This window comes from Homo sapiens, chromosome X (genome assembly GCF_000001405.40).
Source record: "Homo sapiens chromosome X, GRCh38.p14 Primary Assembly".
In the NCBI taxonomy this organism is placed as follows: Eukaryota; Metazoa; Chordata; class Mammalia; order Primates; family Hominidae; genus Homo; species Homo sapiens.
This window is the reverse complement of record NC_000023.11, coordinates 134459268-134472251: the sequence shown is the minus strand read 5'-3', so window position 1 is coordinate 134472251 and position 12984 is coordinate 134459268. Positions and strand designations below refer to the sequence as shown.

The 12984-nt window shown below is 42.7% G+C and overlaps 1 protein-coding gene across 1 annotated transcript in view, besides 8 other annotated features; it reads right to left on the bottom strand.

The window, feature by feature from the left end:
• HPRT1 (hypoxanthine phosphoribosyltransferase 1) overlaps nucleotides 1-12087 on the bottom strand; it is a 40504-nt gene extending 28417 nt beyond the window's left edge. The window contains exon 1 of the mRNA NM_000194.3: nucleotides 11914-12087. Within this exon, the coding sequence (NP_000185.1) occupies nucleotides 11914-11940 (27 nt within the window). The 5' untranslated portion in view covers nucleotides 11941-12087. The remainder of the gene's footprint in view (nucleotides 1-11913) is intronic.
• Nucleotides 6561-8981: a matrix attachment site, noted in NCBI's record as "HindIII/BglII fragment; binds nuclear matrix". NCBI's record gives the evidence for it as "EXISTENCE:fractionation evidence [ECO:0000100][PMID:2841570]".
• Nucleotides 6561-8981: an origin of replication, noted in NCBI's record as "HindIII/BglII fragment; supports extrachromosomal replication of a plasmid in yeast cells". NCBI's record gives the evidence for it as "EXISTENCE:genetic transformation evidence [ECO:0005027][PMID:2841570]".
• Nucleotides 6561-12170: a biological region, named in NCBI's record as "origin of replication in promoter/intron 1 of HPRT1".
• Nucleotides 7511-8083: an origin of replication, noted in NCBI's record as "HPT385 fragment; supports extrachromosomal replication of a plasmid in yeast cells". NCBI's record gives the evidence for it as "EXISTENCE:genetic transformation evidence [ECO:0005027][PMID:2841570]".
• Nucleotides 11274-11771: an origin of replication, noted in NCBI's record as "amplicons 6 and 7; peak of endogenous synthesis determined by quantitative PCR of size-fractionated nascent strands". NCBI's record gives the evidence for it as "EXISTENCE:fractionation evidence [ECO:0000100][PMID:11948690]".
• Nucleotides 11816-11995: a silencer, noted in NCBI's record as "silent region_21009". NCBI's record gives its function as "represses an Ori minimal core promoter by ATAC-STARR-seq in GM12878 lymphoblastoid cells {active_cell/tissue: GM12878}" and the evidence as "EXISTENCE:reporter gene assay evidence [ECO:0000049][PMID:35858748]".
• Nucleotides 11836-12170: an origin of replication, noted in NCBI's record as "335 bp fragment for promoter/exon 1; confers replication ability to mouse-human fusion construct as measured by quantitative PCR of nascent strands". NCBI's record gives the evidence for it as "EXISTENCE:genetic transformation evidence [ECO:0005027][PMID:12616531]".
• Nucleotides 12096-12215: a silencer, noted in NCBI's record as "silent region_21008". NCBI's record gives its function as "represses an Ori minimal core promoter by ATAC-STARR-seq in GM12878 lymphoblastoid cells {active_cell/tissue: GM12878}" and the evidence as "EXISTENCE:reporter gene assay evidence [ECO:0000049][PMID:35858748]".

Here is a 12984-nt window from a genome sequence, read left to right as displayed (position 1 = left end):
TTGTAATCCCAGTGCTTTGGGAGGCTGAGACAGGAGAGTTGCTTGAGGCCAGGAGTTCAAGACCGACATGGGGAATGTAGCAAGACCCCGTCCCTACAAAAAACTTTGTAAAAATTTGCCAGGTATGGTGGTGCATACCTGTAGTCCCAGCTACTCGGGAGGCGGAGGCAGAAGGAATCACTTGAGCCCAGGAGTTTGAGGCTGCAGTGAGCTACGATCATACCACAGCACTCCAGCGTGGACAACAGAGTAAGACCCTATCTCAAAAACAAAACAAAACAAAACAAACAAAAAAAACCACAAGAAAAACTGCTGGCTGATGCAGCGGCTCATGCCTGTAATCCCAGTATTTTGGGAGGCCCAGGTGGGCGTATCACCTGAGGTCAGGAGTTAGAGACCAGCCTGGCCAACATGGTGAAACCCCATCTCTACTAAAAATACAAAATTAGCCAGGCATGTGGCACGCGCCTGTAGTCCCAGTTACTGGGGAGGCTGAAGCAGGAGGATCACCTGAGCCCGGGAGGTGGAGGTTGCAGTGAGCCGAGATCACACCACTGCACTCCAGCCTGGGTGACACAGCAATACCCTACCTCAAAATAAAAAAGAAAAAGAAAAGAAAAGTTGCTGTCCCCGCTACCCCAATCCCAAATCCAAACAGCCTCTCTCATCTCACAGTAAGGGGGAAAAATCACCCAAAAAAGCTAAGTGATCTTTTGAAAACCCAAACTCTTAGAAGTCTAAGATTATTATAGTCAACTCATGAAGTGTCATCATAAAAGATACTCTAATATTATTTAAGTAGAACCACATATTGGTTGTCTTGGTATGTCTAGCCCCTGGCATACAAAATATTTAATAACACTGATATGGTACCTGTGATGTGAAAATGTACTATGAGTACAGCTTTATAAATACTATATATGTACCTATATACAGAAAAAAATACAACAAAATCATAAAAGCACTTATCTTTGAAAGAGGAGTTACAGCAATTTTATTTAGTTCTTTATTGCTTTGCTATATATTCTAAATTTTTTTCAATGAATATATATCACTTTTAAAAAAATTCAATGGTCTTTCTTATAAATTATCTTTGGCAGCATGCGTTTTTATATATACATATAAAATGTATGGGAAATTTTTAAAGGATACATTAAATTAAAGCAAAATATACAAACAAAAAATCAGAATACAAAAAGATAAAAAGATTGGGAAGGGAGGGAGGGAGTAAGGAGGAAGGGTGGGTGGGTATAGAGAAATATACCAAATAATGGTAAGAAGTGGGGTCTTGACACTTTCTACACTTTTTTTAAATAAAAAAAATTTTTTTCTCTCTCTTTTTTTTTTTTAGAGACGAAGTCTCGCTATGTTGCCCAGGCTGGTCTTGAACTCCTGGGATCAAGAGATCCTCCTGCCTCAGCCTCCCAAGGTGCTTGGATTACAGGTGTGAGCCACCACGCCTGGTCACTTTCTACACTTTAATATATATATTTTTTCATTTTCAATGTCATTTTTATTAGTTAATTTATAATACCCATTCACCATTATATTCAAAGTCTATTTGAAGAAATAAACCAGAAAGAATGAAATACTCTAGCTCACATGCTATTCAATACTAAATTACCTTTCAAATCACATTCAAGAAGCTGATGATTTAAGCTTTGGCGGTTTCCAATAAATATTGGTCAAACCATAATTAAATCTCAATATATCAGTTAGTACCTATTGAGCATCTCCTTTTACAACCTAAGCATTGTATTAGGTGCTTAAATACAAGCAGCTTGACTTTTAATACATTTAAAAATACATATTTAAGACTTAAAATCTTATTTATGGAATTCAGTTATATTTTGAGGTTTCCAGTGCTGAGAAATTTGAGGTTTGTGCTGTCTTTCAGTCCCCAAAGCTCAGTTCTGAGTTCTCAGACTTTGGTGGAACTTCATGTATTGTCAGGTTGGCCCGTAATACCTGTGGGACAACTTCAGCCCCTGTGCACATGGCCAGGAGGCTGGTTGCAAACATTTTCAGGTAGGTGGACCAGGACATGCCCCTGGTCATGGCCAGGTGGAGGCATAGTGCTATACAGCAGGCAGAAGTCAATATTGATTTGTTTTTAAAGAAACATGTACTACTTTCATAAGCAGAAAAAATTTCTATTCTTGGGGGAAAAGATTATGCCAGATCCTCTAGGATTAAATGCTGATGCATCTGCTAAACCTTCACATATCAGAACATATTTACTATAGAAAGAATGAAAATGGGACATTTGTGTGTCACCTATGTGAACATTCCAAAAATATTTTACAACAACTAAGTATTTTATAAATTTTATGAACTGAAATTTAGTTCAAGTTCTAGGAAAATACAAACCTTGCTAGATATTATAAAAATGATACAATATATATTCATTTCAGGCTCATCAGAATATATCTGTTATCACTTGACAAGAATGAAAATGCACCATTTTGTAGTGCTTTAAAATCAGGAAGATCCAGAGTACTAAAAATGACTTCTTCCTTGAAGCTTACTCACCAACTTCCTCCCAGTTACTCACTGCTTCTGCCACAAGCATAAACTAGGACCCAGCCAGAACTCCTTGAAATATACACTTGCAACGATTACTGCATCTATCAAAATGGTTCAGTGCCTGGCTACAGGTTCTGCAGATCGACTAAGAATTTGAAAAGTCTTGTTTATTTCAAAGGAAGCCCATGTGAATTCTGCCCAGAGTTCATCCCAGATATGCAGTCTAAGAATACAGACAGATCAGCAGAGATGTATTCTAAAACAGGAATTCTGGCAATATAACAAATTGATTTCCAATCAAAACAGATTTACATACCATACTTATGTCAAGAAGTTGTTTTGTTTTATTGCATCCTAGATTTTATTTTTTTGATTTATGGTTTACTTTAAGCATAAAAAATTTGTCAATACAACTCTTCCCAAAAGGCATAAACAAAAATTCATAAAACTTGCATCACTTGAGATACTTCAGGTATGAATTCACAACTTTGTTACAACTTACTATATATATGCACACATATATATATATTTGGGTATATTGGGGGGGTTCTAATTTAAGAAATGCATAATTGGCTATAGACAGACAGTTGTCAGAACTTGGCAATGGGTACGTGCAGGTTCATTATACCAAGTCTACTTGTAGTTGTTCAAAATGTATCATAATACAAGGCCGGGCGAGGTGGCTCACGCCTGTAATCCCAGCATTTTGGGAGGCTAAGGCAGGAGGATTGCTTGAGGTCAGGAGTTTGTGACCAGCCTGGGCAACAGAGCAAGACCCTGTCTCCAAAAAGAAAAAAAATAATTTTTTACAAAATAAAAACAAAATGTATCATCAGACGAAATTAAATAAGAGGCAATTCATTTAAATGACAACTTTTCCCAGCTTGACATTTAACAAAAAGTCTAAGTCCTCTTAATTCATATTTAATGATCAAATATCAAATACTAATTTTTTTTTTTTTTTTTTTTTTGAGACGGAGTCTCGCTCTGTCGCCCAGGCTGGAGTGCAGTGGCGCGATCCTGGCTCACTGCAAGCTCCGCCTCCCGGGTTCACGCCATTCTCCTGCCTCAGCCTCCCGAGTAGCTGGGATTACAGACATGCGCCACCACGCCCGGCTAATTTTGTATTTTTAGTAGAGATGGGGTTTCTCCATGTTGGTCAGGCTGGTCTTGAATTTCCCACCTCAGGTGATCTGCCTGCCTCAGCCTCACAAAGCAGTAGCTGGGACTACAGGCACCCACCACCACACTTGGTTAATTCTTTTGTATTTTTTTTGTAAAGACGGGATTTCACCATGTTAGCCAGGATGGTCTCGATCTCCTGATCTCATGATCCGCCCGCCTCAGCCTCCCAAAGTGCTGGGATTACAGGCGTGAGCCACCCCGCCCGGCCATCAAATACTAATTCTTAAATGGTAAGGACCCACTATTCAGAACCTGTATCCTTATCACTAATATGCAAATATTTATTGAATACTTACTATGTCATGCATACTAGAGAGAGTTAGATAAATTTGATACAGCTACCCTCACAGAACTTACAGTGTAATAGATGGCATGACATGTACATGAGTAACTGTGAACAGTGTTAAATTGCTATTTAAAAAAAAAGACGGCTGGGCGCTGTGGCTCATGCCTGTAATCCCAGCACTTTGGGAGGCCAAGGCAAGTTGATCGCTCGAGGTCAAGAGTTCGAGACCAGCCTGGCCAACGTGGTAAAACCCCGTCTCTACTAAAAATACAAAAAAAAAATTAGCCAGGCATGGTGGCACAGGCCTGTAATCCCAGCTACTAGGGAGGCTGAGACATGGAGAACTGCTTGAATCCAGGAGGCAGAGGTTACAGTGAGCCGAGATCATACCACTACACTCCAGCCTGAGTGACAGAGCGAGACTCCGTCTAAAAAAAAAAAAAAAAAAAAAGATACAGGTTAAGTGTTATGGTAGTTGAAGAGAGAACTCAAACTCTGTCTCAGAAGCCTCACTTGCATGTGGACCACTGATATGAAATAATATAAATAGGTATAATTCAATAAATAGGAACTTCAGTTTTAATCATCCCAAACACCAAAACTTCCTATCAAACAGGTCCAATAAACTCAATCTCTATAAGAGCTAGACAGAAATCTACTTGGTGGCCTATAATCTTATTAGCCCTTACTTGTCCCATCTGATATTAATTAACCCCATCTAATATGGATTAGTTAACAATCCAGTGGCTGCTTTGACAGGAACAGTTGGAGAGAGTTGGGGATTGCAACATATTCAATTATACAAAAATGCATTCAGCATCTACCTTGATTAAGGCAGTGTGCAACAGAATTTGCAGGAGAGTAAAAGAATGATTATAAATTTACAACCCTTAAAGAGCTTATAGCTGGGCGTGGTGGCTCATGCCTGTAAATCCCAGCACTTTGGGAGGCTGAGGCGGGTGGATCACCTGAGGCCAGAAGTTCAAGACCAGCCTAGCCAACATGGCGAAACCCTGTCTCTACAAAAAATACAAAAATTAGCCGGGTGTGGTGGCACGTGCCTGTAGTCCCAGTTACTTGGGAGGCCGAGGCAGGAGAATCGCTTGAACCTAGGAGGTGGAGGCTGCAGTGAGCCGAGATTGTGCCACTGCACTCCACTTCAGCCTGGGCGACAAGAGCAAGACTCCGTCACAAAAAAAAAAAAAAAAAAAAAGCTTAAAATCTAGTGGGAAAGGCATATATACATACAACTAACTGTATAGCATAATAAAGCTCATAATCTGTAACAAAATCTAATTCGACAAGCCCAGAAACTTGTGATTTACCAAAAACAGTTATATATACACAAAAAGTAAACCTAGAACCCAAAGTTACCCAGCACCAATGATTCTCTCCCTAAGCAGTATCAAGTTTAAAGCAGTGATTACATTCTACTGCCTAGATTGTAAACTGAGTAAAGGAGACCAGCACCTTTCTGCTACTGAACTAGCACAGCCGTGTAAACCAACAAGGCAATGGCAGTGCCCAACTTTCTGTATGAATATAAGTTACATCTGTTTTATTATTTGTGACTTGGTGTTGCATGTGGTTATTATCAACACCTTCTGAAAGAACAACTACCTGCTCAGGCTGCCATAACAAAATACCACAGACTGAGTGACTTAACAGAAACTTATTTCTCACAGTTTTGGAGGCTGGGAAGTCCAAAATTAAGGTACCTGCAAGGTAGGTTTCAATCTCAGGCCTCTTCTTTGGCTTGAAGGTCTTCTAACTGTGTGCTCACATGACCTCTTCTAACAAGCTCTCTGGTGTCTCTTTTTTTTTTTTTTTCTTTTTTGAGACAGAGTCTCACTCTGTCACCCAGGCTGGAGTACAGTGGCACAATCTGGGCTCACTGCAACCTCCAACTCCCGGGTTCAAGTGATTCTCATGCCTCACCCTCCCGAGTAGCTTGGATGACAGGAGCCCGCTACCACACCCAGCTAATTTTTGTATTTTTAGTAGAGATGGTGTTTCACTACATTGGCCAGGCTGGTCTCAAACTCCTGACCTCGTGATCCACCCACCTTGGCCTCCCAAAGTGCTGGGATTACAGGTGTGAGCCACTGCGCCCGTCCTGGTGTCTTTTCATATAAGGGCACTAATCCAATCAGACCTGGGCCCAACCCTCCCGACTTCTTCTAACTGTAATTACCTTCCAAAGGCCCTGTCTCCAAATACCATCACACTGGGGGTTAGGACTTCAAAAAAGGTATGGGGGGGGTGTGGGAGGACATAAATGCTCAGTCCATAACAAGCACCCAACATAAAAATGGCTAGAACAGATCACAAAAAAAAGGTCCTGTATGGCTTTGGGGAAGGGCTCAACCCCAAAATATCTGAGAGCTCTGGAGGGGCCTAGAAGTGGTAAATGAATGAAAACGTGGTTACTCTCCAGATCTGCCTTTCCCAAATATGGCCATTCTTGGCTGAATCAGAAATCAAAGGACAGGTTATTAATTACTAGCTCTAAGTTACTTACCATTTGCTGAGACAGTTCAGAAATCTGACTGCATCTCCTCAGAGATCTAGAACACAGTTCTCAAATTCTAACTTACTTGTGATATACTTGTGAATGATAAAAATCGCTACAGGTACTTTTATTAATCTGAAAGAGTATTGAGAAATTACCTTTCATTCTGACTTTTGTCTGGAATGAAAATCAATACTTTTGCTATAATCGATTACTGAAATAATTTTACTTTCCAGTAAAACTGGCATTATAATTTTTTTTAATTTTTAAAACTTCATAATTTTTTGCCAGACTGACCCATGTAAACATACAAATTACTAATAATTATGCACGTCACATCTGTAATAATGGCCTTCATGTAAACATTTTTGTGGTTTACACATAAAATCTCTAATTACAAAGCTATATTATCTAAAATTACAGTAAGCAAGAAAATTAATCCAAGCTAAGACAATACTTGCAACATCAATTCATCATCTGTGACAAGGACTGCTTAAGTCTCTTTGTGGTTAAAAAGGAAAAAAAAAAAAAAGACATGTTGGCCAGATGCGGTGGCTCACACCTGTAATCCCAGCACTTTGGGAGGCTGAGGTGGGCGGATCACCCCTGGCCTGCCCAACATGGTGAAACCCCGTCTCTACTAAAAACACAAAAATTAGCTGGGCGTGGTGGCGGGCGCCTGTAATTCCAGCTACTCGGGAGGCTGAGGCAGGAGAATTGCTAGAACCCAGGAGGCAGAGATTGCAGTGAGCTGAGATTGCACCATTGCACTACAGTCTGGGCAACAAAAGTGAAACTCCATCTTAAAAAAAAAAAGACAATGTTCGTGGGTCCAAACAAGACTTAATGGAAGTGAGTCTAAAAATGAGCTATGTGGGCCAGGCGTAGTGGCTCCCACCTGTAATCCCAGCACTTTGGGAGGCCGAAGCAGGCAGATCATGAGGTCAGGAGATGGAGACCATCCTGGCCAACACGGTGAAATCCTGTCTCTACAAAAATTAGCTGGGCGTGGTGGTGCCTGCCTGTAATCCCAGCTACTCAGAAGGCTCAGGCAGGAGAATCGCTTGAACCAGGGAGTCGGTGGCTAGAGTGAGCCGAGATTGCATCACTGCACTCCTGCCTGGTGACAGAGCAAGACTCCATCTCAAAAAAAACAAACAAAAATAAAAGATAAAAATGAGCTATGTGAATTAAAAGAGGTATAACAATAGATAAACCATATTTTATTTAATTCCTAGTAATGAGTAATATTTCCAAACTTCTGGAATGGGCAGAAATTGCTAGTTGGCATATTTTTACCTTTTATATTCAGATACATTAAAATTCTCAAAAAAAAACACCTCAAAGCAGATGATCCGCCATCTCCTTGGATAATTTGTGTTAACTCAGGATAACAGAAAACCAAAATTATGAGTTACTGATGCAATATTCCTAAATGTAAAAATAATTAAAGCTAATAGTAGATTCATCTTCCAATTTCATATCAGTCTTACAAATAAACTACATATATAACTTGCTTGCCTTCCCTTCTGAGGGATAAAGCTGTTAGAAGAATTAAAATCAGCATTCTTGACTATTCAACCAAGGGAGGGATAAATTATTACTCATTCTAGGGACATGGGCTCATAACTACTACATGTGTAAGGACATGAATTTACCCAATATTACAATTTTTCCTTTTATTAGTGTGTACAGTGGAAGAATAGACATGTTCACTCTGGACAAAAAAAAAATTATACTTATCAGTTATCAGAAGCACAATGCTGAAGACAGTAGTTCCATAACAATTTGAAGTATGTGATCGAACTAGTAGATTATCTTAGTAGTAGTGAATTATTGTAAATGTTAGTAATTTGGCAGCCACTGGGCAGAAAAATAAGAATTGAGGCTCAATATTGATATTAATGGTGGTGATTGACACATAAATTTTATCAAGTCTACACAATATAAAATTACAGAAAGGTAGAAGAGTATACCAGTACAACTTCAACATATCTTCACTACAAGGGAGTAAAATGACATGGCCTAGTTACTATCTAATGAACTGCAGAAAACTAAAAGAAAACTCCAAGGCAACTCTTCTCTGCTGATCTGGTTGGTCCTTTTCCTACCTTTTGCAATACCCAGATACAAACAATGGATAGAAAACAAAGTAGACTTGTAGTATGCAGGTCACAGTGCTAAATTCACAGAAAGAAACCCCTGAACTGAACTGCTCTATTTCCTGGTGGTCACAAAGAGTAATTCTGGTTTACACCTACAGATTGATGTCAATCTACACCCTGTTGATAACAGTGTGGCCAAGGACAAAAAAAAGGTGCTCCGTTTTACCAATTCTGTAAAAAATTATTGGCAGGGTAAGCTCGGCTAGGGCAGGATTACATTTCTAGGACTACCATCCCCGAAATTTAGAAGATATTATATCCACATAAAGCATATCTTTCACATTAATTTGCAAAAATCTAAAAGCTTTTTCTTAGCTCAAGTGTGTCCAAGTTTACCCTGGCAGTTTAAAACGATAGTTACAAGCAGCATGGGTTGTATCAGACACATTTGAGGGCCAATTTCATGTAAGTGATATTGGGCAAGTTACTTCAACTATCTGTGCCTCCAAGGTCATACTAGTGTTTATTTACCTAAAGGGTACCTGTTATGTAACTTTAGGGTGTTTACATTAGATAATGCCTGCAAAATATTTACTTCAACGCCTAAAACATAGTTAAGTATTCAATAAATACCTACTATTGTCACTACTAACTTAAAAGTTTAGAGATTAAGAGCAGAATCTGGGGTGAGACAAACTTAGGTTCAAATCCTAGTATTGTTGGGTAATCTTGGGCAAGTTACTTAACCTCTCTGATTTGTGTAATTTAAAAAATTAGTTAATATACATAACAGGGCTTAGAAGAGTATCTAGCACATAGCACCATTTAAGCATTTGTTATTGCTAACATGCAAACAATTTAAGGGAAAGAAATTTTTTAAAAAGGAAGAGGGATTTGCAAACTAAAAACAATGAGTATCTTATGTTCAAAGAAAACTAACAAACAGCCAGCTCTAGCAATAATTAAATTCACTATATACTGGGGCAGGCATCACACCCCAAAGCTAAAAGCGTCTACCTAGGCCAGGCACGGTGGCTCATGCCTGTAATCCCAGCACTTTGGGAAGCAGAGGCGGGCAGATCGCTTGAGCTCAGGAGTTCAAGACCAGCCTGGACAACATGGCAAAACACCATCTCTACAAAAAATACAAATATTAGGCCGGGCGCAGTGGCTCACGCCTGTAATCCCAGCACTTTGGGAGGCCAAGGCGGGTGGATCACCTGAGATCAGGAGTTCGAGAGTAGCCTGGCCAACATGGTGAAACCTCGTCTCTATTAAAAATACAAAAAATTAGCCAGGCATGGTGGCAGGCGCCTGTAATCCCAGCTACTCAGGGGGATGAGGTAGGAGAATCGCTTGAACCCGGGAGGCAGAGGTTGCACTGAGCCGAGATCATGCCACTGTACTCCAGCCCGGGCAACAAGAGCGAAACTCCATCTCAAAAAATAAATAAATAAATAAATAAAATAAAGTACAAATATTAGCCAGGGATGGTGGTGCGCACCTGTAGTCCCAGCTACTTGGGAGGCTGAAGTGGGAGAATCCCCTGAGCCTGGGGAGAATCACCCGAGCCCGGGAAGTCGAGGCTGCAGTGAGCAGTGATTGTGCCACTGCACTCCATCCTAGGTGACAGAGTGAGACCCTGTCTCAAAAAAAAGAAATTGGCAGAATTAAGTAAGTTGATGTTTAGAGATGAAAAATCAACATTTTTTCCTCAGCAACTGAATAAAAACAACAGCCACTACCATTTTTTTGAGTACCTATTTGTAGCCTATTTTTTAACTGGTATTACTCGAGAGAGAGAGAGCTAGGTTCGAGACAGAGCTCCTTCTCTTAATAACTGTATGACCTAGGGTATGTCTGTTAGCCTCTCTGAGGCTTCAAAGGTTCCTCATCTGTAAAATGGTAATAATCATACCATTGCTACAGGGCTGTTTTGAAGACTAATTAGGACTATGTAAGTAAACATGATGATGGCTATTATTACTGTTCCCCGCCAGGGGCCATGCAAGGGTTGCTGATTCACATAGACTGTCTTATAATCCTCTCAATAACTCCAAGAGGTAGCCAGCACCTCAGATATACATAAAATGACTTAAGCCCAGAGAGGTGAAGTAAGTTGCCCACAGCCACACAACTAGTAAATAGCCCAAACAAGCTGGATTCCCAGTTAGACTCCGTTAATAGCACTGCTCTTTACCTTAAGTCATTACAATGCCTAATATGAAATAGAATCGCTTCTTTCTTAGGGTTCAAGTGGTTAATTATTTAATGTATTCATTCAACAAACCATCATCGAGGACCTCTTACAAGCCAAGTACTGTGCTAAGTGCTAGAGTTACGGCGGTGATTCCTGCCCTTAAAAAGTTTTAGTGGGAGAAACAACAGGTAACCAGGTCATTGCCAAAACAACAAAAATAATCATAATAAAGCAGGCTAAAGCATATTTAACTGGCCGGGGTTTTGACTATTTTAGCAAGCATGATCAGAACGGTTGAGGAGGGAGGCCAGCAGCTTGGCCGGTTCAACAAACAAGAAAAAACCAGTGAGGGTGGAGCTAAGATACCAGAGGCTGATTACGGTTAAGAATGTTCTTGAAGGTAAGGACCAGATTCTCATTTTCTATATCCTGGGGCATCGGTCAGCATGGAATCTGGATTCTAGCACATGTGAATTTCGGCTTGAAATGACCTAATGCCTTTTCCCTAGTTCCTTCGTGTGTCAAATACGCATGGTTACCGCTACCAGAGCTGTAGTGGGGCTTCAATGAGGCCATGAGCATCTCCATAAAGATGAACTACAGTGTGTGCAAAACTAAAGGCAAAACCTGGTCCCCACACGCCCTCCCAGGTGGTCGCTTTCCGTGCCGAGGCCCCTCCAGAGGTGCCCCGAGAACCTCACCATCGCACCCCAAACTTCCAGGGAAGGGCCTCTCCCGAGAAAGCCCCCACGCCCCCACCCCGCGCCATCATTCCCGAATCTGCCCTCGGCCCCTCCCCGCAGCACGCTCGCAGGCGGCACATGTCAACCAAAACGCCATTTCCACCTTCTCTTCCCACACGCAGTCCTCTTTTCCCAGGGCTCCCCCGAGGAGGGACCCACCCCAAACCCCGCCATTCCGTCCTCCCTGCCGCCCTCGCGTGACGTAAAGCCGAACCCGGGAAACTGGCCGCCCCCGCCTGCGGGGTTCCCTGGGCCCGGCCGCCCGAGCCCGCACTGCGGATCCCGCGCCTCAGGGCCCGGCCGCCACCTGCCGCGTGGGCCTGAACCGGCCAGGGCCGGCAGGCCGAGCTGCTCACCACGACGCCAGGGCTGCGGGTCGCCATAACGGAGCCGGCCGGCGCGCGGGCTGACTGCTCAGGAGGAGGAAGCCGGTGGCGGAGCAGAGGAGGAGGCGGAGGCGCAGCAAGAGGCGGCGCCGCGCGGGAAAGCCGAGAGGTTCGCCTGAGGGCTCGTCGCAGCCGCCTGAAGCTGAGGAGAAGCAGGCCCCGCCCTCTGCCCGCCCCGCCACGCCCCGCAGGCCCCGCCCCCGGCCCCGCCCGCGCGCCTACGCCGGCGCCTACCAGTTTGCAGGCTCACTAGGTAGCCGTGGGAATTTTCTCCCAGAAGAAGCCGAGGCTCCCCCAGCGAAGCCCCTTTCCCTCCCAACTCAGTCTCCTATTCAGAGGGCTCCCTGATTCCCAAACCTACCGGCGCGCGTTGCTTCATGGCGGCCGTAAACCGGGCCCCGGCTCTTCGGGTTCCAGTCATCGCGTGAATCCTTGGACCAGACGTCCCATTCCCAAGACCTTGCACTACCTGTGGCTTCCATTTTCCTGACTCTTGGCCCAGTGCTTCCCCAAACCCTTAACTGGTTGTAACAGTTGAGACCTAGAGTCCTAGAGTCACCCAGATCAGGGTACACATCTGAGAGGACACTTAACTGCTCTGTAGTTTTGTACAAATCAGACTCTGAGCCTCTATTTTTGCCTCACTAAAATGAGCATATTAGCCCGGCGCGGTGGCTCATGCCTGTAATCCCAGCACTTTGGGAGGCCGAGGCAGGTGGATCACTCAAGGTCAGGAGTACGAGACCAGCCTGGCCAACATGGCGAAACCCCATCTCTACTAAAAATACAAAAATTAGCTGGGCGTGGAGGCGGGCGCCTGTAATCCCAGCTAGTCCGGAGGCTGAGGCAGGAGAATCACTTGAACCCGGGAGGCGGAGGTCGCACTGAGCTGAGATCGCACCACTGCACTTCAGCCTCCGCGACAGAATGAGACTCCGTCTCAAAAATAAATAAAAATAAAAATAAATAAAAATTTAAAAATAAAATGAGCATATTAACAATACATAAACAGGATCATTTTGAGTATTAGAGGAGTATAGG